Source organism: Homo sapiens, chromosome 15 (genome assembly GCF_000001405.40).
Source record: "Homo sapiens chromosome 15, GRCh38.p14 Primary Assembly".
NCBI lineage: Eukaryota > Metazoa > Chordata > Mammalia > Primates > Hominidae > Homo > Homo sapiens.
The window spans coordinates 77,325,987-77,353,031 of NC_000015.10; the positions used below are offsets into that span (position 1 = coordinate 77,325,987).

General features: G+C 36.2%; 1 protein-coding gene across 33 annotated transcripts in view; it reads right to left on the reverse strand.

The window, feature by feature from the left end:
- PEAK1 (pseudopodium enriched atypical kinase 1) overlaps positions 1 to 27,045 on the reverse strand; it is a 320,261-nt gene that overhangs the window by 225,333 nt on the left and 67,883 nt on the right. For 4 of the 33 annotated variants that reach the window (XM_047433073.1, XM_047433072.1, XM_047433064.1 and 1 more), the window contains one exon: positions 20,556 to 20,625. The exons of the other annotated variants lie outside the window; for them this stretch is intronic. The gene's annotated coding sequence lies outside the window, so the exon portion shown is untranslated. The remainder of the gene's footprint in view (positions 1 to 20,555; positions 20,626 to 27,045) is intronic. 33 annotated transcript variants of the gene reach the window in all.

The following is a 27,045-nucleotide window of genomic DNA, read 5'->3' on the forward strand; positions in this document are numbered from 1 at the left end:
CATAGACTACTCTAACTTCTATGATTTAGAATCCAGCACCATATAGTTTGAATTTGTTTACTAAATGTTCTAAATTGTAAGAGAAATCTGATCTCAAATAATCTCCATAGACTATAAGCAGTTAAGTCTCCCCATTTGCTAAGCCATTTTAGCCATCTATCTTGAACAATTAACTTCCCCCTCCTGCTACTCCCTTCCCCCAACACACAGATTCATCTTTGGATTTTAAAGAATGACATAATGAACTTTCACATTAGGGTCTATTAACTTTGATAAAGGAGATGCTCAAAAACATCAATAAACACTTTCAACTACTATCTTGTGATGACAAACCATAATACTTGGTCTTGATAATCTCTCAAATAGGTAAGTAAAGCCAGAAATTTTAAATTAGGAGAAATAAAAGAAAGGACATAAAATATCTCCAAAGAAACAGAAATGCCAAAATCATTTTAAAACATTCGTAAGAATGAGAATACACATTTTCTACTGTCATAAATCTAACAAAGCTAAAAAGCTCTCTTCTGAGACTCCCTCTCCTTATTTCGGTCTGCACTTTCCATCTGATGACAGCATTTTCTGGATACAAGGAATATTTCTCTCATCACAGAAACTGCCTGACTTGTAATCTAAGAGAAACAAAAATAATTCTTAGCTCTTAGATCCAATATCCTAGCAATGTTGAAAAAACAACTCCCTAAGATGTTAAGATGTTTCTGAAACTGATTGTCTCTCATTTTCCACCAAACACAGAATTAATCAGGGTCTATATTCTTGATACTATTCTATTTAGGAAACAGCTTGACATGTGGGATATACATATATAAAAAAATACTGGTGACAAAGAGCTCGTGCTATAGGCAGGCAGACAGAAGAAAACCTATCTCATGTACCATATTTAAAATCTTCAGAAATTAAGTTTAGCAAGGTAAAATAATCCCAAAAGGGCCCACTATTATTTGCCTCAAGTAAACATATTCAACAACAAACCACATCCAAAAATACTTAGCAGCCTATGATGTTTGACTATCACTTAAAGCAAGGCTTTAGAATATGTAAAGAAAATCCAAACATTTCTGATACTTACCTGCTTTCCAAAGTAACTAATAATACCACTGGACAAACTACACTTTGAAAAGACCATAAATGAGTAACCTGGATTTTAGAAATAAGAAAATATTCAAAGTTTTCATACTAAAAAGTATTCCCAGATGATTGTCAACATGATGGTAATTAGTATATTAATGTTTTAATAACTACGAAATCAAATATTTGGATGTTAGGTTGAGGTTGTCTCTGCACTCATCAGATTATGGTTCTAAATAAAGTAAATCATTGTTGGGGCAAGGGTATGTTTAAACTGGAATCAGCCAGTTAAATAAAGAAACAACCCAATGAATCATTGTAAATTCCTATGCCAATAAGATAAAAACTCACACTTGGCACTAATGTATTCTAAACATCTGTCTGTATTTCTTTAACACTCATATTTCATGTAAATAACAAGCAGATAACTACGAAACAAGTTCTCTTTTATAATGTATATAAATATATATGACAAAAGATCAATATTAAGCATTAGTGGAACATTATATCAACAATAATAAAATATACTAAGACCTAATCTTCCTTTTTAACAGAAAAGAAGAACTAGTTATAGATCATTGTTGTTGTTGTTTTTTTAACGTGAACCCTGAAAAACTAAAACACTAAACCAAATGTAAAAAAAGAAAATCCATACCCATGCTAGATTTTCCTTTTGATATAATTAGAATCATTACAAATACTGTATAAGGGGGAAAAAATGCAACGTTATTGCAATATCCAAAGATAAAGTGATGAAAATTAAGGAAGATACTCACATTTTGAAGATTTAAGAATTAATTGATAAGCCACATTATGGAAGAAGAAGGAAAAAAAATAAAAAAACCTTAGTCAAAGCACCCTGAAACGGCAACAGTGCATGCTGACTTCAAAGATGCCTCCAATATCACAAATAATAGCAGTAGCTCAACTCCCTCACAGCTTCTTGACAACCACTACTCTGAAGTCCCAATGGAGACTACTCTGATCTGATAATGGATCCTTCACTCTCCAATGGCAAAAGATCACTTTACAGTATACCACATGTATTTTAATCCATTGACTGGCCCATTAGTACATAAATATTTTTAAAAGCTTTCCTGATATGATCCTCAATTTCCCCTTCAATAAAAAAGAAAGTATATCTACCTTATATAGTTGTGAGGATTAGACAAGGTATACAAAGCTTCTAGCACAAGGATCTTGCAGGATATTCTGGCACAAGTACTTATTTTGAATGTACCACAAAACTGTATAATAAGCATTTTTTGAAAGAATGGAAAAAAGCAAGGCCTCGACTGAAGCTCTGACACCATGCAGACCAAATTTAGTAACTGACATTCTTTTCATTCACCATTAAAAGTGCTCTTTATATAAATTACCTTAAACTGTAATAAAATTACCAAAGGTTCTATTCGATAAAGAAGACAAACAAAATATAAAGGAAGGAAAATAGAAAGAAGTAATACTTATTGGCTGCCTACCATATACTAGGCATAATGCTAGAGGAACACTGTAAGAAATCCATAATGTAGTCTGATTGGTGAGGAAACTGAGGCTCTCACAGCTATTCATGCAGCTATTACATGACAATGTTGGGATTCAACCTGGTCTGTGTGAAGGCAAAGTCTATTTTTCTTTCCACAGTGCCACACACAATTCACAGAAAAGTGATGGAAAAATTCAAAAAACATAAGCATTATAAACCACATAGTTGTTTTTGGAGCAAAGGAATTATTTTCACTGAAACATTCAGGAAGCAACAACAAACACATCCATCCTGGATCACTAAAAAACTAAACTGAAAATCTACATGCCAATTAGGTAAACAAAGAAAAACAAGTCAAACATGATAAAACATTTATCCACCACATAAATTGCTTAGTAGGCACAGAAAGATACAGAAGGTATAGAAAGCTTTAGATTTAGTTCATGTATTACATTTCGTTAGAATCTACAGTCTAAGATGATATATACTTTCTCTATTTTCATGAAAATGAAACAAAGCACATTTATTTTTAATTAATGGGCTAAGATACAACCAACAGGCCATGAAGTAATTTTGTTGTTTATAGAACAAGTCCCACTACAAATCTGCAATTTACTTGTAAAACATGATTCAGAACCAAAATGCAGAGCAAAACAAAATTTTATCTTGTCCTCTCTTCATGTCACCTGGAGGGGTTCTTCTGAGAGTAAAAAGCCAGAATCTCTATTTTCTAACTAATATTACAGGACTCAACCTTACCACTGAAAGCAAGGATTACTATTATTGACCAACAGAACACTCAAGTTAGGCTTCCAGATAATTAAGGGTTTTGTTTTGTTGATTCGTTGTTTAGGAATGCAATCAAATCCAGATTGTCTATAGCCATGTCTGAATTCCACCCTGAATTTTAATCCCCTCTCTGCCAACCAGCATGCTCTGGACCACTAGACCTCACACCTAAGTTAGAGTAAGCAGGTTTATGAGTGTCTTACTATTTGGTGTAATCAAGCAAATCAGAAAGATAAGTCAGAGGAAAAAAATCATATTTTCTAATAATACATACAAATGATTTTCAGGAAATCAATGATATACCTCTCATTCATTAGCAAGGATGACCTGGACATGACCATTCTGTTGAACTATATTGCACAGTTTTTCATCACTGAGTTATTCTGCATTAGTGATGAGGTAAGAACAGCAGAATACATAAGAAAAAATTGTTCCTTATGGCATTGAATTTATCAATATATGAAAGTGGGTTTCTAGAGTTTACAGAGGAAAACAAGAATGACAGGGAAAATGCTGAATACAGTCCTCTGTAGTGGGGGAAAAAAGTGTAATTTCCTTCCTTGATCAATTACACTAGTCAGTTAACTAATATCTTGGTTCTAATTTAAGAGCTGGACCTATTCACCCTCTGAATCACAAGACAGAAGTGACTACCTAATATTAAAAAGAAAAAAAAATTCTTAAAATTTTAAATGCACATAATACTCTGAAATCAAGAAAAAATACAAAAAAGTAGAAGTCACTTTAGTTTTTTTTTACTGCTTTTAAAATAATATAGAAATTTTGAAAAACATTGGTCTGTATAAAGAAACACAAATCACTAGCAATACTACCAAATAGAGATTAACTATTGACATGTTGATGTACGTATTTCATTATTTCTTTTAACAAGGCTTTGTGGGCAAGAGTTGTAAATCCAGAATCAAACTACTTCTCATCATTGGTCTAAGCTACCATCATCTCTTGACAGGGTTATTACAATCACCTCTTATCTCCATGATTCCATAACAGCTCCTCTCCAATCTATTCTACACCAAACCACTAAAAAGATCTTTTAAAATATCAGTCATATTTCATCCCTCTGCTCAAAACCCTACAATGGCTTCTCATCTCATCAATGTGTGAGTCCAAAGTGCTTACAAAAGGTCCTACAAGGTCCTCCATTTTCACCCCTAACCTCCACTTCTCTCACCCTGTTTCCCATACATTCTCCTCCCTGGTTTAACTGTGCTGGTTAAGCTGACCTCCTTACTCTTGCTGGAATACACACAGTTCCCTCCACAAGGAATACTCTTACCCCAGATGTAAACATTGCTCTCTTCCTCCCTAACTTTCTTCAGGTCTTTATTCAAATATTTTTCAGACACTTCCCTGACCTATGGTATATAAAACGGCATTCTCTCCCTTTCCCTCCCTTGGTGCACCTTATCACCCTACTCTGTTATATTTTTCTCCAATTATCACCAACTGACAAATTATTTGTTCACTGTTCTCTCTCTACTAACTAGAATGTAAGTTCCATGAAGGCAAAGAAATGACCTGTTTTGTTTTTTCCTCACTCAGTGCTCTATCTCTTGGTTCCAAAACAATTCCTGGGATACAGTAGGTACTAAGTATTTGTGAGTGAATGGCTGAGTAATTAGGATCAAAGTATATCTAAAATTTACACTCAACTTTTGTCATTTACTATTAGCATTCCTAATTATTGCATAGCATTCCATTATAGACATATACTATGTAGTACATTGAATCAATTTTCTATTTTATTATGTTTAAAATTTTTACTTATTTATTTATTTTGAGACGAAGTCTTGCTCTGCTGCCCAGGCTGAAGTGTAGTGGCATGATCTTGGCTCACTGCAACCTCCGCTTCCTGGGCGCAACTGATTCTCATGCCTTGGACTCCCCAATAGCTGGGACTACAGGCATGTGCCACCACGCCCAGCTAATTTTTGTATTTTTAGTACACACAGGGTTTTGCCATGTTGGCCAGGCTGGTCTCGAACTCCTGACCTCAGGTGATCCACCTGCCTCGGCCTCCCAAAGTGCTGGGATTACAGGCATGAGCCACCATGCCTGGACAATTTTCTATTTTAACTATTTAGGTTGTTTCTACATTTACTGTATCATAAATATCCTTGTATACACAGAATATCTTTGAAATACATGTCTTCCTGCACAGCTCTGATAATTTCTCTAGGATAAATTATTTTAAGTACAATTGTTGGATCAAAAAGTATTTAGATCATGAATGCTTTTATTTATTTATTTACTTACTTATTTTTTTTGAGATGGAGTCTCATTCTGTCGCCCAGGCTGGAGTCAGTGGCACGATCTCAGCTCACTGCAACCTCCGCCTCCTGGGTCCAAGCAATTCTCCTGCCTCAGCCTCCTGAGTAGCGTGGGACTACAGGCTCGTGCCACCGCGCCCAGCTAATTTTTGTATTTTTAGTAGAGACAGGGTCTCACCATATTGGCCAGGCTGGTCTTGAACTCCTGACCTTGTGATCTGCCTGCCTTGGCCTCCCAAAGTGCTGGGATTACAGGCATAAGCCACTGTGCCCAGCACTCTGAATGCTTTTAATACATTTTCTAAACTGCTCTAGAGGCTGGGCGAGGTGGCTCACACCTGTAATCCCAGCACTTTGGGATGCTGAGCCGGGCGGATCACTTGAGGTCAGGAGTTCAAAACCAGCCTGGCCAACATGGCGAAACTGTCTCTACTAAAAATACGCCACTGCATTCCAGCCTGGGTGACACAGCAAGACTCCATCTCAAAAAAATATAAAAATAAATTTAAAAATAAGTTGCTTTAGAGAATAGCTAGTAATATAAGCTTACATTTCTCCTCACTAACAATGCATATGTGAGTCCTTTTTTGACAAAACACAAAAAGTTGATTTTTTTCCCCCTGAAACTAAACAGGAATACCTGGTCACCATATATTTTTTGTTTGTTGAAAAATTTTTTGGCCGGGTGCGGTGGCTCACACCTGTAATCCTAGCACTTTGGGAGGCTGAGAGGGGCAGATCACGAGGTCAGGAGATTGAGATCATCCTGGCTAACACGGTGAAACCTCATCTGTACTAAAAATACAAAAAAATTAGCCAGGTGTGGTGGCGGGTGCCTGTAGTCCCAGCTACTCGGGAGGCTGAGGCAGAAGAATGGCATGAACCCGGGAGGCGGAGGTTGCAGTGAGCCAAGATTGCACCACTGCACTCCAGGCTGGGCAACAGAGCAAGACTGAGTCTCAAAAAATAAATAAATAAATAATAGGAAAGTTAGAGGAAAATATAAATTTTATTAGTTAATGGACAGTGGTTGTTTCCAAGCACCCTGTCCCATGGTGGCATTATCATTTTTAAAAGCTTTACCAATCTGGTAGATTTTAAAAGGTACTTCATTTTTTTTTAACGGTACCTTATTATTTTCCATTTCTTTGTTTACTAATGAGTTTGAGGATGCTTTCCCACATTTATCAGTAGATTTTAAAAGGCACTTCATTTTTTTTAATGGTACCTTATTGTTTTATTATCCATTTCTTTGTTTACTAATGAGATTGATGATGCTTTCCCACATTTATTGGTTGATTTTGTTTTCCATGACAAACTGCCCTATTCATGACTGCTCCTTTTCCTATTCAGGCATTCATTTCTTATTGACTTATAAGTGCTCTTCATACATTAAAGGTGTTAAATTTTTATCACATGGCATAAATATTCCTTCATATTTGACATTTGCCTTTCAATTTTGTTGATGGTATTTGATACATAATTTTTTGTGCAACTAAAACACTTTATTTATTTATTTATTTATTTATAGCAAAGAGGTCTCACTTTATTGCTCAGGCTGGTCTTGAACTCCTAGGCTCAAGCCATCCTCCTTTCTCAGCCTCCTAAAGTGCTGGGATTACAGGCACGAGCCACTGTGCCGGATTCAATCACTTTTTGTGTGTTATTATTTGTTTAATTTTGCATTTAGAAGAGCACTTCTATATACAACCAACATGCTATCAAGTTAGAAACCAATGGTGGTTTTGTGGTTTCTAACTGAGTAGAAGTCTGGGTATTTTTTCTTCTTTTTGCTTGTATATTTCTTTTCTCTAACAACTATATAAGCTTATCTAAGAATAAATATTTTCTTAAACATTAAAAATAGAAAATAATTTCTCCACTACTTGATTATATATTTACACACACACATTTCCTTATGTTTTTATTCTATTTTAAAATGTTTTCATTATTTTAACCATCTGAAATCTTAGCTCATGGCATGAAGTACAACTCTAGTTTTATATTCTTGTGATAATTTTAAGTCAATATTCTTACCACTTTTGTTTACTAATTCATTCTCCTAATGAATTGAAATGGCTTCACTATCATACATTAATCTGTATTATTTTAGGACTCTACCTTGTTCCATTCTTAGTCAATATCATATGGTTTTAATCATTGCAGATTTATAAAAATCTTCTAATATATGGTGGTGCAATTCCAACTTCATAATGCTACTCCTTCAAAAATTTTCTTTTAAACTTATTCTACAACAATTTCAGACCAATTTTGTTAAATTTCCCTATTTCATCCCACTTCTGAATCAAAAATGTTAATTAGATTTTGATTAGAATTGCATCAAATTCATAGATTTGGGAAGAATTAATATAAGACTGAGTCCTGCTTATTAGAAACATGTTTAATCTCTGTACTTATTCAACTCTCTTTATGTTATCCTGTAAGGTTTTTAAAAAATAATTTGTACTTGTTTTATCGTTTCTAAATACTTAAGAGATTTTTTTTCTCCATTGTAGTTTCCAACTAGGTATTCCTTGAATATTGAGAAAGTACTGACTTCAGTACATTTAGACGTAACTAACCACATAATTTTAGTTCAAATAGGCTTTCAGGTAATTTTCCTAGATTTTCTGGTAGATCACTTGTGCATAATAGTAATGCTGTCTTCTCTTTTGAAATGACTGCCCAACCATGTAGTGTTTCTGGTCCTGACACCAGAAGGAAGGCCTTTTATTATTCCAGGAAGAAGAAATATTTTCCAGATGAAGGTCTCCCATCTTGCCAGGCTTCTACTTGTACCTGCTTATCCTTGTTTCCGAGAAGTAGAGGAGATTTAGTCAGATTTATTCAGCATCTCTTCCACTCACGACCCAGGCAGTTTGCTCTTTCATGCGAGAATTTATGGGTTGGTTCTCTATACCTCCATCAACTCGGTTCCTTTCATATTGTCTCTAGCATAAATGCCTACAATTACGAAAAGTCCAGCAGGAAATATTTTCATATTTTTATTTGTATTACTTTTGGATCAGCATCATTTCCATCTATTTTTTTAACAATGTGTGTGCTACATCTCTCTCTTTCTGATATTCTTGCTGTTTGTACAATACATTTTATCTCCTGACCTGTCTTCCTTTTGTCTTATTTTGTCATTTTGATTTATTTTTGTAGTGTCTAATTTGCTATTCACTGCATCCAGAGATTTTAATTTGGCAACTGTATTTTCATGCCTTCAGAATCCTGTCAGATTGCTTCCTTTTTATTACTGATATCCAGCTTCCCCAGGTTTAATGACTAAACCTTTTTGAGAACACAAATCTCAACAGATTGCTAGTTGAGCTATCCAGCAATCTGAACAGGGTTTGAGGCAGGAGGGTTGGTAGCTGGGAACTTAGTGACTAGGCCACCTATGTGGACAGGTTTCTTCTAGGGAGGTGCTATAAGCAAACTCTAGATCTATAAACAGTGTTCACAAATGCTTCTGGTCAAAGAGCCAAGAGAGGGATTTAAACACTGTGCTTTGTAGGAACATGCATTAAGTTTACTGTCCCTCCCAACTTAAGAGTCCTCTCTCAGAAAGATTCTCCTTCAGGGGCTCCTCCTCAATTACTTCTTTCATTCCAGGACCATAAGCAATGCTGCCTAACAAAGATTATTCTGGGTTTTCTGGCATGAGTGGCATTAAGCTCTAGCTTCTAATACACATGCAGTGTTTTTCCCATTCATCTATGTATCTAGTGGTCTTTTTAATGGAAATTTAGATGGGTGAAGATAGGAAACTTTTTTTTCTGCTATTTTGCCCAATACTGTTGTCTGTATTCTTATCACTATACATCACGTTGATGCTTACTACTTTGTTTCAAGAGACAGGGTCTGGCTTGTTGCCCAGGTTGGATCACAGTGACATGATCATAGCTCACTGCAGCCATGAAGTCTGGGCTTAAGCGAACCGCCTGACACAGCCTCCTGAGTATCTAGGACTACAGGCGTGCACTACCACATGCAGCTAATTTTTTGCTGCTGTTGTAAAGACAGGGTCTTGCCCAGGCTGACCCATGTTGCCCAGGCTGGTCTCAAACTACTGACCTCAAATAATCCTCCCACTTCAGCCTCCCAAAGTGCTCAGATTACAGGTGTGAGTCACTGTACACAGCCCTCTCACTACTTTTAATTAATCCATGCTTCTAGGTAATGGTTTCCAATCTCCATTTTACCAATTCAAAGAGACTTGACAACATGCCATCCTTCCCACCCCAATCATTGCACTTCAGGAAACAAATGCCACAATAAGAACACCTATCTCTTTCTGGGAAATCTTTTACCAGGTTAGGTATAATGATGGACTAGTAGGACTCCAAATGGTCAGAGTTAATAGACCCAGGTATCTCTGTGTCTTAATTTTTGAAGGTAAGATAACAAGAATAACAGTGCCATTAAAAGACTGCTATGAAAGACTAAACAGTGAGTGCCAACTTCTCTGAGATGAAGCAAAGGGGTCTCTCCAAAAGACAGATGAGCACAAGACCTGCACCTACTTGTTCTACAACCACAGAGCTTCAGGGGCAGAGAATCAGCCTCATTCATGTTTGCATTCCAAGAACCACAATGGGCACAAAGAATCTAATCATTTACATCTTGCAGAACTAAACTGTCCACATGGCTGGTAGGCAGAGTTACTTGCAACGAGGGCTCACCCTCATATTCTCTCACCAAAAAGCTCTCATTATAGAGACGTTTACTAGGAACCAAGGCAGCTTTTCCACTCAGGAGTCCCTTCTGAGTGAGGGGTTAATGGTAACCTACTTTGGTTTTATATTATTCACACATAAATAATTTGGCCGTTTGCTAATCATGTCTATAAAAGCAGCTCTTCAGTTGCTTGTTGCTTGTTGCCCACATGAAATATAGAGTCTGTGAATCCTCATGCACTGCTCAAAGCAGTAAAAACTATCTAGTCATCCTACAGAGCAATCTGGCAATACCTGGTGAACTTAATAATGGACATCCAACAACAGATCAATCACATTCTTGATTATATACCTCTATAAAATAAAATGAAGATTATCACTGCAACATTATTAATGGCACATGGAGTTGAATACACCCAAGTGCCATCAGAAAAATGTATAAATAAGACAAATACACAGTATACATGGATAAGAGTGTGTACATGATATAATACTGTATAGCAGTCAGAAGTAATGAACCAGAATTGCATATAGCAACAAAAATAGATTGTTTAAATATAGGGCTAAATGAAAAAAAAAAAGAATAAAATGGGATGTACAGACCAAGGCCATTTGTGAAAATTAATAACCTATATATATATGTACTAAACACTATATAATATTTTCCAAAGATATAGAAATATCCAAAGACATAAATTAACTAGATTATAGTAGGTGTTTATGGAGGAAACAGAATGAGTAAAGATAGGAAAAAGAGAAGACAACAAAGTAACCAATCAAGATGCGGGGCTAGCCCTCAAGATGCCAACAGTAAGAAGCATCATTATAACCTACCTGTGCCCATGAAGTTTGAGAAGCAGGTAGAGGAGTAAAAGAAGTCCAAATAAACTCAGCCAAGACAAGATAATACAGACATGAAAGCTCCACTAGGGAAAAAAAAAAGGTTCTAAGTATGCCAAGACAAGAAGTTTATTTTGAAAGGTGCCAGGAATGGTATTTCATTTATTTGAGAGGAGAAACCATCAGTGAATATTTATTTTAAAAATCAAGAAATAATCATTGAAGATTATAATAATGTAAAGTAACTACATGATCAAACTAAGAATTTGATGATTTCTCTGAAATTAATAGGTCTGTAACATCATCCAGAGATTAATCTGAATTCATCATCCTGACATACAAAGATCCTGAACACAAAATACCAAACAGAAGATAAGATGTAGTCTGGCAGAGATTCCACACCAACAGAATTTTTAACTTTCACTTACCTCAGAGATATGCTACAAAACCTTTACCATGGATTAATTCCCATGAATGAGATGAAATCTAAAACCATGGCATATGCAAAAAATTAACCCGGAAAAGTCATTTGTCAGTAACCCTTTATTATTATAGCACAGTTATGAACATAGTGTCACTAGAAGAAGAGCTGGGGAGACAAAATCTGGAACACATTTTATACTTGAGGAAGACAGAATGGAAAACGCTACTTTAGCGTTTCATGCAATAGAGCTAAGAAGAGCAAGGACTTAAGAAAAAAATCAATTCCCTTGTCATATTAGTCTGTTCTCATTAAATTACAGCTAAATCTGTCAATAATTTGGGGGTGCTGATAGAAAAAAATAATCTGAATTGGAAGTACCATCATACCACTTTCTGGAACCTATAATAAATTATCTTGAGGTAAAAAGAGGTCATTATTTTTCAAATGTGTAAAGCAGTAAAAATTTGAGCTTTTTTAGCTATTGGACTCAAACTGTATACCAATGAAAGGGTAAATAAGCAATGATAATCAAATCAGCAGTGACAGATTAGCATGGACAATTAATACAGCAGACAATGGGAGTAGCCTTCTCTAAAGACTGCAATCCTGTATGGTTCAGATTTAATTTAGGCCACAGAAGATTCTGCAAACATCTGCTTTTGCTGGATGAAACTTGCTGCATTCATCAGCATAAATAATTAGGTTCAACTCATCCCATCCCAAGCAAAATCAAGTCACTTTCCTCTTGCTGAGGGAGGAAGCTATGCCTTTACCTCCACCTTGAATTGCACAGATTATCTGATGAAATCTATAAATTGTGCTCTCAGAAACTGATGCTTAAAGAAAATCTGTGACTTTGAAAGAGCCCCAGAAAGAAATCTACAAAAGGTACACTCCCCAACTAACAGCACATTTTGTAAAAATTAAGTATTTCTACAATAGCTTCTGTTGAGTATTCTTAACAGACTAGCTATGGAACAGCATATTAACAATCTAATCTCAATTGTATATACATTCTAAAAAACATACACCACATGAAAAATCTTTAAAAAAAAAAATATATATATATATATATGTATCTAGCTATTTAGAACCAATTTAGTAAGGCTCTACAAAATGAATCCCACAATAAAATTTAAAGATATGTCTTTAAAGGATTGAAAAACTTAACCTTCAGGTCAGAACTAAATCATAGTAAATTCCAGAAAACCATGCATTTCTATCTAAGCTAATGTAAGAAACCATGATAAAATTAACACTTATAGTAAATTGATTATTTAACATTAAATTGCTTTAAATTAAAATGTTTTTCCTTATAGTAAAAAAGTGTCTAAATCTCAAAAACAATGCTGAATTTTGAAATAAACAAGTTGCAGAAATACATGTAATGTTAAGATGAAATTTTAAAATTTGTAAATTGGTTATTTCTGAGAAGGGGAGAGGGATGAGATAAGGAGGAATTCACAAGGGAGGGTCTCAACTGCATTGATTTTACAATCTGTAGATTAATAAGGTAAAATGTTAAGACTTTTTTTTTTTTTTTTAAACGGTCTCATTATGTCGCCCAGGCTTGAGTATGGTACTGCAATCATGCCTCACTGCAGCCTCAACCTCCTGGGCTCAGGTGATCCTACCATCTCAGCCTGCGGGGTAGCTGGGACTAAAAGCACATGCCACCACACCCAGCTAGTTTTTTTGTAGATATGGGGTTTCATCATGTTGCCCAGGCTGGTCTAGAGCTCCTGGGCTCAAGCAATCCACTGCCTTAGCCTCCCTAAAAGTAAGACTTGATAAAGCCATTTGGTAAGTACTTTAGATACAGGTCATTATATTAGTGTTTATATCTAATTGTATGTTCTAAATATTTTATAATTTTAAAAATGTAAAACAAAATTCACACAAAATTAAATTCATACATAATTAACTCAAAATGGATTATACACCTAAATATAAAACATAAAACTATAAACATTTTACAAGGTAACACAGAAAAACATCTAGGTGACTTAGGTTTGACAATGACTTCTTAGATTCAACACCAAAAGCACTATCCAAGAAAAACAAACTGGTAAGTTGGACATCATTAAAACTTCTGCTCTGAAAAAGACATTGTTAATGAAAAGACAAGTCACATACTGAGAGAAAATATTTGCAAAAGACATATCTGAAATCAGGATGTTATCTAAAATATACATAGAACTCAAACTCCACATTAAGAAAACAATCTGATTAAAAAGTGGGCCAGTGATCTGAGCAGACACCTCGTCAAAGAAGATACATATATGAAAAATAAGCATATGTTAAGAGGCTCAATATCATATATTATTAGGGAACTGCAAATTAAAACAATGAGCTACCATAAAATACACTTATTACAATGGCTAAATTCAAAACACAACACCAAATGCTGGCAAAGACATGGGGCAACAGGATCTCTCATTCAGTGTTGCTGGGAATACAAAATGATGCAGTAACTTCAGAAGATAGTTTGGCAACTTCTCACAAAGTTGAACTTAGTCTCACTGTATGATCCAGCAATTGCATTCTGATTTGAGAACCAATGTCCACACAAAAACCTGCATGCAAATGTTTATAGAAGTTTTATTTCTTAACTGTGAAAACTTGGAAGCAAACAAGATGTCCTTCAATAGGTATGGATAAAGTGTATTAAGTCCACTCATTGGGATATTATTCAGGAATAAAAATAAATGAACTATCAAACCATAGAACATACAGGAAGCTTGAACTAACACAGATAAGTGAAAGAAGCCATCTGAAGAGACTACATACTATATAATTCCAACTACATGACAGTCTGAAAATGGCAAACTTATGAAAACAGAAAAGATGAGTAATTGCCAAGGGTTCAGCGGCGAGGAAGGAGGAATGAATGAATGGAGCACAGATGACTTTTCCAGCAGTGAAAATATTCTGCTTGAATGGAATATCTACCATTACCACTGTAATCGCAGATAGATGCTATTATGAATTTGTCAAAACTCATGAAACTATACAATATAAAGAGTGAACCACAGTGTAAATTATAGACTTTACTTTAAAATAAGGGATCAATATTGGTTCATTAATTGAATGTACCACCATTCTGTTTCAACCATAACAGTGTATATTGTAATTCAATTCTGGCACTAACCATCCAGTGTTAGTGTAGACCCTACAAGTTAAAGGGTATGATCCCAAACAATATTGCTCTTTACTTTAGAAACCAGCTGGACTTCAGGAGTCTCCAGACCACCTGCACTCTGACCAACTAGCCATAAATTCAGAGGTTTCCATGACTCCCTCAAGTTCAGAAATTGGCCAGAAAGATTTACACAACTCAGGAAAGTACTATACTTACAATTATAGCTTTTTTTTTTTTTTTAATACAGGGTCTTGCTCTGTCACCAGGCTGGACTGTGGTGGCACAATCACAGATCACTGCAACTCTTGATCTCCTGGGCTCAAACAATTCTCCCACCTCAGCCTCTTAAATTATAACTTTACTATAAAAAATACACATAGGACAAGGTCTTAGAGGGTCCGAAGTGCAGAGTTTCTATGCCCTTTCCCCATGAGTTAGGGCACTTACCCTCCCAGTACACCAATGTCTTCACCAACCAAAAAGCTCTGCTTGGCTGGGTGTGGTGGCTCACACCGCCTGTAATCCCAGTACTTTGGGAGGCGGGTGGATCATCTGAGGTCAGGAGTTTGAGACCAGCCTGGCCAACATGGTGAAACCCTGTCTCTACAAAAAATTTAAAAATCAGCTGGGCATAGTGGCACGTGACTGTAATCCCAGCTCCTCGGGAGGCTGAGGCAGAAGAATCACTTGAACCCGGGAGGCAGAGGTTGCAGTGAGCTGAGATCGTGCCACTGCACTCCAGCCTGGGTGAGAGAGTAAGACTGCATCTCAAAAGAAAAAAAAAAAAGCTCCACTGAGCTTTGGTGTTCACAGTTTTTATTGAGGGGTTATTACATAGGCATGATTGTTCAAATCATTAGCCACACGACTGGACTCAAACCCTCCTACTCCCACCAGGTCAGGCTGGCCTAAAGTCCCAACCTTCTAATCACATGGTTGTTCTTTCTGGTGACAGCTCCCATCTTGAAGCAATCTAGGGGTCCACCATAAGTTACCAAGTTTACATAACAAAGATACACCTATCACTTCAGAAATTGCAAGAGTTATAATTTCCATGTAAAAAAGTCTAAGACAAAGACAAGACAAATTATTTATTGTACCACAAGCATATTAATGCAAGATGTTAATAAGGGAAACTGTGTATGGGGATGGGGAGCTCTGTACTGTCTGAAGTGTTTGTAAAAATCTAAAACTGATCTAAAAATTAAGACTTTATTTTTTAGAACAGTTTTAGATTTTTACAATAAATAAAATTTAAGAAATAATAATATTACACCTCAATGCAGCTGCATTAAGTTACATTGATTTAAAGGACTTAAGGGCTTTTAGTAATCTTTATATCTCCTTAGCCCAGCAGTATGCAGAACACAAAACAACCATTTAATGAACAGTTATTGAATGACTGGCTTCATTTCTTTCATTATGGTAAAAAAAAAAAAAAAAACACACACACAACATAAAATCTTCACCATCTTTAAGTGTACAATTCAGTAATGTTAAGTATATTCACATTGTTGTGAAACACATCTCCAGAACTTTTTTATCATGCAAATCTGAAACTTATACCCATTAAGAATTCCTCTTCCCTCTCCCTTCAGCCCCTGGTATTCTACTTTCTGTTTCTATGAATTTGACTACTTCAGATACCTCATATAAGTAGAATCATACAGCATGTCTTTTTTTTTTTTTTTTTTTGAGACAGGTTCTTGCTCTGTCACCTAGGCTGGAATGCAGTGACATGATTACAGCTCACTGCAGCTGCAATTTCCGGGCTCAAGTGATTCTCCTGCCTCAGCCTCCTGAGTAGTTGGGGCTACAGGCAGGAGCCACCATGCTTGGCTAATTTTTAAAAATTTTTTTGTAGGAAAAGGGTCTCACTATGTTGCCCAGACTAGTCTAGAAGTCCTGGGCTCAAGCAATCCTCCCGCCTTGTCCTTCCAAAGTGCTGGGATTACAGGAGTGAACCACCACACCTGGCTTGCATATGTCTTTTTGTGACTGGATTATTTCACTTAGCATAATGTCTTCAAGTTCTTCCATGTTGTAGCATGTAACAGGATTTCTTTCCTTTCTAAAGCTAAATAATATCCCACTGTATGTATATACCTCATTTTGTTTATCCATTCATCTGATGATGGACATCTGGGTACCTTCCACCTCTTAGCTATTATAAATAGTGTTGCTATGAACACGGGTGTGTACATATGTCTTTGAGAATTTGCTTTCAATGCTTTTGAAAACTTACTCAGCAGTGGCATTGCTGGATCATATGATAGTTCTATTTTTACCTTTTTGAAAAAATGCCATACTGTTTTCCATAGCAGCTGCACCATTTTATATTCTCGTCAACAACAATGCACAAAGGTTCCAATTTATCCGTGTCCTTGCCAATACTTGTTTTCTGTTTTGTTTTCTTTTTCCTTTTTCAATAACAGCTATCCTAATAGGTGTAAAGTGGTATATCACTGTGTTTTGATTTGGATTTCCCTAATGATTAATGATGTTGAGCATCTTTTCATGTGGTCATGACTATTTGTATCTTTGGAGAAATGCCTTTGATCATTTTTTAATTGAATTGTTTGGTTTTTTGTAGTTGTGAGTTATAGGAATTTTTTTATATTCTGGATATCAATCCCTTATCAGATATGTGATTTGCAAATATTTTCTCCCATTCTTCATAGGTTGTCTTTTCACTCTGTTAATAGTGTCCTTTGATGCACAAAAGTTTTTAATTTTAGTAAAGTCCAACTTACTTTTTTTTTTTTTTTTTTTTTTGAGACGGAGTCTCGCTCCGTTGCTTAGGTTGGAGGGGAGTGGCACAATCTCGTCTTACTGCAACGTCCACCCCCTGGGTTCAATGATTCTCCTGCCTCAGCCTCCCAAGTAGCTGGGGTTACAGGCACACACCACCATGCCCGGCTAATTTTTGTATTTTTTATACAGATGGGATTTCACCATGTTGGCCAGGCTAGTCACAAACTCCTGACCTCAACTGATCTGCCAGCCTTGGCCTCCCAAAGTGCTGGGATTACAGGTGTGAGAAACCGCGCCGGCCTTATCTATTTTTTCTTTTGTTACCTGTGCATTTGGTGTTATAACTAAGAAATCACTACAAATTCAATGTCATGAGGATTTTCTCCTAGGACTTTTAGTTTTAGCTTTTATGTTTAGGTCTTTGATCAATGTTGGGTTAGTTTTCTGTATGTGGAATAAGGTAGGACTCCAACTTCATTCTTTTTTCATATGGAAATATAGTTTTACCAGCACGATTCGTTGAAAAGACTGTCCTTTCCTCATTGAATGGTCTCGCCACCCTTGTTGAAAATCATTTGACTATATAAGCAAGGATTTAGTTCTTGGCTGTCTGTTTTTTTGTTTTTTTGAGATAAGAGTTTCACTCTGTCGCCCAGGCTAAAGTGCAGTGGCGCCATCTCCGCTCACTGCAAGCTCCGCCTCCCGGGTTCACGCCATTCTCCTGCCTCAGCCTTCTGAGTAGTTGGGACTACAGGTGCCAGCCACCACGCCCGGCTAATTTTTTGTATTTTTAGTAGAGACGGGGTTTCACCATGTTAGCCAGGATGGTCTCGATCTCCTGATCTCGTGATCCACCTGCCCTGGCCTCCCAAAGTACTGGGATTACAGGCGTGAGCCACCACGCCTGGCCGGCTGTCTGTTTTATTCCACTGGTTTATATATCTGTCTTTATGCCAGTATCACACTACTTTGATAACCATAGTTTTTGCAGTAAGTTTTGACATCAGGAAGTGAGAGACCTCCAACTCTGTTCTTCTTTTCAAGATTGTTTTGGCTATTTGCAGTTCCTTGAGATTCTACACAAATTTTAGGATACATTTTCTATTTTTACAAAGAAGTCATTGGGATTTTGATAGGGATCTAATTGAATCTATAAATTGCTTTGGGTAGTACTGACATCTTAACAACAGTGTCTTCCAACCCATGAACATGGGCTGTTTCCATTTACTTATGTCTTAATTTCTTTCAGTAATGTTTTGTACTTTTCAGTGTTCAGGTCTTCCACCTCCTTGGTTAATTTATTCATAAGTGTTTTATTCTTTTTGATAGAATTGTTTTCTTCATTTCGAAACCATTTTTGGATTAGTCATTGTTAATGATTAGAAATACAACTGATATTTGTGTGTTGATTTGTATCCAGAAACTTCGCTGAATTGTTTTAATTCGAACCTGTTTTTATGAAATCTTCAGGGTTTTCTACATATAAGATCATGTCATCTGCAAACAGAGATAATTTTACTTCTTCCTTTCTAGTTTGGATAAATTTTTTTTCTTTTTCTAATTGTTGTGGCTAGGACTTCCAATACGATGGTGAATATAAGTGGTGAGAGCAGGCATCCTTGCCTTGTCCCTGGATCTTAGAGCAAAACCTTACAGTTTTCCACCATTGATTAAGATGTTAGTTGTGGCTTTCCATATATGGCCTACATTATGTTGAGGTAGTTTTCTTCTACTCTTAATTTGTTGAGTGTTTTTTATCGTGAAAGGGTGTTAAATCTTGTCCAAGGTTTTTTCCGCATCTATTGAGATAGATTGTGTGTTTTTTGCCCTTCATTCAACTGGATAGCTTTGTAAGGCATATCTCATTCATTCAAAAACAAAACTAATACCCCCATTTTGCATAGTTTCTCTTAATTTTTGTAACAAAACATTTAAAACAGAATTTAGTGACACAAACTCTTTGAGTTTTATGAAAGACCAGAGGTTTTGAAAAGATAAAAAGGAGATATTGAGTAGAAGGCGGCTTTTAAAGGGAGAACATTGCACAACTAGCTCAGACTGGGAATTACATCAGATAAAACCTACCAAAAAGGATCAAGGTGAACCAACACTTCATTTGATAACACTGCGGCATACATCAATATACAACCCAGAATTGGTATACTGTTTATATAACACCCATTGATTAATAGCACAGTAGGGAACTTAGAGTTAACAACAATTTACTGTATATTTCAAAATGGCTAAAATAATTTTTTTTGTATTCCCAACACACACAAAAAGATAAATGTTTGAGGTGATGGATATCCCAATTACCCTGATTTGATCTTTACACATTGTATACAGGTATTAAAGTATTACATGTATCCCCAAAATATGTACAACAATTACATATCAATAAGTAATTTAAAAAAATCAAACTCATTTAAAGCCTACACATACATATTAATTATAGCACATAGCAATGGCAAAGGTCTATCATGGTCAAAAAGAATACAACTGAATAAATTAATACCTGGGGAAATGAAATGGAAAAGAAATCAAGTAGTATTCATTCAAAAATGCCTGTCCCTTTCCATAGAGTTAATCGAAGGCACAACGACTATGCCATAAACCAAAGTTCCAACCAAGAGTCAAAGCTATATTTTATAGAATTGCCACTTTCCTCACCAATACCAATAAATAAATTATTAAATCTACCCTTTTGGCATAATAAAGTCATTTCAATAGAACTAAGAGTGCCACAGTTTCAATGTCATCTCTTCTGAAAATAAATGTTGCTGTCTTGACTCAGAATTCAAATTGCAGCAGCAGGTCATTATTTTGTTCTATTCTATTGACATATTTTAACTCATTTTGTAAACCTGGAATTTGTTCCTGTTCTATAATCCCAGACAGAAAAATGTTTATGAGAAGGCAATTTCATTTTGCTAGGATGACAGTGATCAGTCCCTTGGGGGAGAGGCCAACTCAAGCAGGACTGAAGCAGCTGTTAGAAGCCAATTTTCCTACCTGCTAATTGCTTTTATGACTAGGATGTACGGGCTCAGACACCCACCTGGCAAGCAGAAAATAGATGGAAACAGTCACATCTCAAGAGGTTTTTCCCTTCTTCTAAAAGAATTCAACTAGGAGACAAAACAGCGAAGAAACAGAAAAATGTCAAAAATACAAAAATATTAATTGCAAAAACATTAATTGTATCTTCCTGACTACCAAAAGGAAAATGAAAAAGAATGAAAAGACATTTGTACGAATAGCTGGTAGAAAAAATATTCATTCATTGGTCACTCAGTAAATATTTACTGAAATGCCTATTATGGCAGACACTACTGTAGGTGCTAGAGATACAGCAGTAAACTAGACACAATGTCCCTTTGTCCCCATCAGAGGAGATTAATGAGAAATAACAGCTACCAATTAGTGATCTGGTACTAAGAGGAAAACAAAACGCAGCCATGTAATAAAGTGAGTTGAGAAGCACCAATTTACAGTGAGTTGTCAAGGAAGCCTCTTTGAAGAGGGGACATTTAAGCTGAGACTTAAATGACAAGAAGAATCCAGTAAACCACCAGTCTGAGGGAAGACCATTCCTTGCAGAGGGACAAGGAGTAGAAGACTTGCAAGTTGGAATAAACTTGGTATATTCATAGAAGACAAAAGAAGGCCAGTGTAGCTGGAGTTTTGTGAACAACGTTAACAACGGCAGAAGATAAGATCTCTTCAAAGTGCCACGGCCATTTCAAAGTTATCTGCTGAGAAGATAAAAATAAAACTATGACCCACGAACTATTCATGGAAATTCACTTTTGGACTAGTAATGACCACCAGGAAACCTTCAACAAAAAAAAGATAAGCATGAGTTGAGAAATGCCACAGAGGAAGAGGTTTCTGAATCAGAAAGAATCGGCATCAGAGTACTGGCTGAATCAGTGCTGTCAGGAACCTCAAAAGCAATATTGTTCTAGATAAGATCAACATCTAGGGCTGGCACACCTGGACAAGGTGATATCTGAGGCTTATAATAGGAACCGTTAAAGCACAGCACTCATAAATGAACTCCAATCACAAAGGAATGTTTCTGGATGTATTTGTCCTAATACTTGTTTGACCTACACATTTGAGATAGCCCAGAGACTTTAAAAAAATTTTAATGTAAATAACAAATATAACAACATAAAACAACACCCTCCTAAAACAGAAATTTTTAGAAATTACAGAAAATATTTCCATGTTTAAAACTCTTCCTAGGTTACAAAATAAATTAGGAGTTTTTTAAAAGAAAAAAAATTTAGTGAGTGTATAGATCATCTGTTTTCCTTCTATAGCAAGCACAAAACAGTGTTTAAGTTCAAAAGCATCTACAACATTAAACAATGCTACATTTAAAAATAAAATATACCTACTAAAAAAAAAGTAGCTCACCTTAATTGAAGGATAAACTTTATTTTTAAGCACTGAATGATTCCCAAACATACTGTATAGGTTGCATAATGCTAACAAGACATTTTGTAATAGTGCTATAATGTTAAAATTCCCAAACTATGCACATGGCTATCAAATATATGCACTTTTCTACAAAAACATTTTGGTCAGACATTATTCATCTAGAGAAAAAAAGAAAGAAACAACAATGGAGATCAAAAACTTGCTCTACATGAGGTATATGGCAATGTGTCTTCACTTAAGCCACATGCTAAGAAAAAAAAAAAAAAAAAGAAGACTGGGATCAGAGACCCACCTGTACTGGAATCCCACCTCTCACACTAATTAGCGTACAACATCCCTGAGTCTCAATTTTCCTCATCAGTAAAATGAGTCTCATGCCACCTACTCTTACAAGATTGATAGGAATATTAAATAAAACAGGTTAAATTTAAAGGAATCCCATCTTATTATTTGGTAATTACACTATAAGCAAGGGAAATGTCTTTAAAAAACAGCTGATTTTTTAAAAAGAAAAAATAATAAATAATAGGTTGTAAAAGCTAAACACAATGTAAACAATACTCAAGTTGAATATACAGGCCAAACTCCTTTATTTTACCTATGAAGAAATAAAAGCTTGGCAAGCTTAAGTGACCAGCCCAGAGTTGAAAAAGCAGGCAGAAAAAGGGCTAAAATCTTGCTTAATTCCTAAATGTGGTATACATTTTATAGAGCACTTTCATGTATAAGATCCAATTGATGTCCATGATAAAATAGTTAATCTGACTCACGGGAAAACCCAAGGCACCAAAGTCAGCCAGCTTCTTAGTTATAGAACTGTGACTAAAACCCGATGATGAATATCTTTTTTTCTTTTTTGTTTTTGTGGGGGAGGGGGCGGGCAGGTGGGGGTAGAGTGGGGGTCTAACTGTGTTGCTCAGGCTGGTCTTGAACTCCTGGGCCCAAGCAATCCTCTTGCCTTGGCCTCGCAAAGTGCTGGGATTATAGGCATGACTTACCATGTATGGACTATGTCTCTTAAAATAGAGATTTAAAGCCTTTCTTACTTATAATTTAACTAATACAAAAAAATGCCTTAGCAAGCAATCACAATTTTATTCAGTCAATAATTTTTTTTTTTTTTTTGAGGCGGAGTCTCACTCTGTCGCCCAGGCTAGAGTGCAGTGGTGTGATCTCGGCTCACTGCAACCTCCACCTCCTGGGTTCACGCCATTCTCCTGCCTCAGCCTCCCGAGTAGCTGGGACTACAGGCACCTGTCACCATGCCTGGCTAATTTTTTGTATTTTTAGTAGAGACGGGGTTTCACCATGTTACCCAGGATGGTCTCGATCTTCTGACCTTACGATCTGCCCGCCTCGGCCTCCCAAAGTGCTGGGATTACAGGCGTGAGCCACCGCGCCCGGCCTCAGTCAATAATTATTTTTTAAAGTCACACTACAAAGACATAAATGTTTCCATGTTGTATTTAAGAGAGTCAATCAGTTTAACATAAAAATGTTCATAATAGGAGCAAATTAAATTGCCAAAGACACATTTTTAGGCCTATTTCCCAAAGCTCAATTGATATTGGCTTAATATAATGTAGCAAGACTTACTTTTATTCTGTTTGTTCATAGATTATTTAAACCAGATAGGTGGGTTACGGAGTCACTGAATATATGCTTGAGTATGATACTGAATCCATGTTTCTATCATTAATGACTCTAATATTCACGTACTTCAAAATTACTTAATCAATCCTTTACATTGTCCTTTCTTCACGTAGGATTTTCAAGCTAACCCTTCTATAAGTAGGTCAATCATTCTTAGACTTAAGTTGAGATGATTCACTTTCACAAATAATTAGGTTACAAATACTGCATTGTTTTGCAGCTGAGGGGACAGCCAGGCTGGAAAACTAATTAAAAGAAAAGGATTCAAGTGGAGAGGAGCCAACTGAACAATATGGTATCTAAAAAACAGACACATTTACAATACATGTTTCTGAGTGTCACGAAGAAAATATACATCTGCTCCATATTCCAAATTCTTCCTTTAAAAAGGATCAAGCATTATAGGAAGATTTCTAGGTTTAAGAAGAAGACATAGAACAGCAATGTAGGAAGTCAGGGCTCAGCCACCATGATAGTTTTCAGATCATTTGTGCAAACATAATAAGAGCATACCCCCAAATAGGTCTCTGTTCAAAGCCACTTCGAAAGATGTGAAAATGCATGCACAAAAGTAATCTCTGAGTTTTGCAACTACTAACTGGCAACACTGTTGTTGGGTAGGTGAGAACACAAAAGAACAATAAATCAATACACAAATTAACAGTAACCACTCACACTAATTTCATATGAATTAGAAGAATCAATATATAATTTGGGTGGGAATCCAGCACTCTTGAAATAGTCATGGCCAGAGAGTATCATCAAATTAACTACTTAGCTCAGTTCACAAGACTTCATTTGTGCTCAGCAAGGACTATCACTGAATAGGGAACAGCCTGAATGTAGCAAGCTTTCCACTGAATTAAGATAGTGTATATATCTTAAGGTATGTTGCTTGTCTGTCTTCTAAGAATTTTTTAAGCTACATTTGAAAAAACATGATAATACAATTGTGAGTCTCCTTAGTGTTAAATTTATAATTAGATAGGCAAAATAGTAAGTATATGTGTGTTAGAGATTCAAGTAAAAAAAAAAAAAAAACAAGGCCCAGCTTGTGACATAGCATCACTACAGATCCCCCTACAGCTCAGTTCCCTACAGCTTCCTCAGCCATAGCTCTAAACAAGCCACAGAAATCAGAATGATCATGCTGAAGCACCTTATGGATTAATAAAGACAGATCAATTCTGTATAACCTATTTTGTTTTTTATTCAAATTATCTAAAATTGATAATTTGTAATTGGCTGTTAAGAAACATAATCAATTACTGGAGCACTCCATTTCTCAATCACCTTGGATACGCAGGCATTTACTACAAACATGGCCCTCTATTTAGAGCAATTCACATGTAAAGCACTCCATTAATTACACTCTTCATTCAATACACATCTATTAAGCACTATTGTGTACTAGGCACTATTGGTATTAGAGAAATACCATGCTGAATCAAATCAGCCCCTGCCTTCAGAGGCAGAAGGCTTTGCTTACAGACATGCAAACATTACATAATGAGACAAGTGCCATAACAACATGTATACAAACCACTATGGAAATACACAAAGGGAAGGACTTAATTCTTCCTGGGGAGGTGAAGAAAAAAGGCTTGTCAGACTACCTAATATTTAACTGAGTGTTAAAGGGTCAGTATAAGTTTGTTTGGTAGATATACTAGAGGTTGTTCATGAGAGAGGATGTGACAGACCCACAGCCTGTGCAAAGTTGGGAGGGCAGAAAAGAGTACTTGCTTGGAAAGACAATAGAGCTCGGTAATAGGTAAGAATGAAAAAGTAAGTATGATCAGAATGAGGCAGGAAAATATGGTCTGGAGGCAGGGAACATAAAGCCAATTTACACTTCAGCTATAATAGGAAATATCCTCTCCATAGGGTATATGCCGTAAATGACTTTGTAACTTTACCTCATCCTCTTCATTTACATAGGGCGTACCCCAAGTAAAGGGTATTTAAACTCATGAAAAACTCCGTTAACAGGGCCTTTGAGCCCGTATGCTCAGGCCCACTCCCACACTGTGGCATGTACGTTCATTTTCAATAAATCCCTTCATTCCTTCCTTGCTTTGTTTGTGCGTTTTGTCCAATTCTTTGTTCAAGGTGCCAAGAACCTGGACACCCTCCACCGTTAACGAGAATAGGGCACAGAGGTTCTCCAACAGGCCATGTTAAGACTTTATCTTGATGAAAATGTGGAGCACTGAAAAGTTTTGAACACGGGTGTGGTAACAGTTTGAGTTTTAGACAATTATTTCCGGGCATACAAGAAAAGGACAGACCAGAAAGAATAAAGTCTAAAGGTAATGAAGTCTGGTAGACCTATTATAAGATTATTAAAATCAGCCAGGTGTGGTGGCTCATGCCTATAATACCAGCAATTTGGGAGGCCAAGGCGGGAGTATAGCTTGAGCCCAGGAGTTCAAGACCAGCCTGGGTGACATAAGGAGACCCCATCTCTCCAAAAATTTAAAAATTGGCCAGGCATGGTGATACATGCCTGTGGTTCCAGCTACTCAGGAGATTGAGGTGTAAGGATTGCTTTAGCCTGCAGTGAATTATGATCACCACTGCACTGCAGCCTCCAGCCTGGGTGACAGAGCAAACCCTGTCTCAAAAAATTATTAAAATCACTACTATCCTTAGATCAAGGCAGTAGGATTTGGTCCTCCTAGCCATACCTCTCCCCCAGGAAGTGAGCAGTGCAGAGGGCCAAATCGAAGTGCCTTACTCGATCTATCTCCAGAAATCACTTTCTATCTACCTGAAACCCCAGAACTCTGCTCAAATGGCCCTGAGTCCACTTCCAAGACAGGTCCTCATTCAGATACACGCACCACTAGGCCTGAAGGGGAGATGAGGGACAGCTGTTGAGAGGAAATGGGGGCTATGGAGAGAGCCTGGACATTTTGCCAAAATTTAAAAATACATACATTTTAAATTTAAAATATATATACTTTAGAAATATGTCATTTTTTAATATATATAAAACTACAAATTGAGAATTAGCAACTTCATACCATACTCATGAATAACTGAATATTTCTGCCTAGAAACCTAAGGTTGTTTATGATATAGAGTATTAACCTGAAATTTTTAAAAATTTAATGTTTCAAGAAGATTTGAAATAATTATTTAACAGACAAAAAATATTTTCCCTATAAGACAGACATACAAAAGTCAGGATCAACTTCTCAGAAAGTCAAAGCAATTTGAAGATAGATGTGCCAAACAGGTGTTCATAACAGCTTTGTTAAAAAAAACAAAAAAAGACATTTAGTGAAGGATCAATGTGTGGACTAAAGGCACATATTTGCTATACACAAATGAGCTAATGTATTGTACTGCTCTTCTCATTAGCTACAGAGATGCATTACCCTCACATTAAATACTCAGTGAGTAAAACACTCTGGCAAGCATCTGTTGGCTAATAGCAA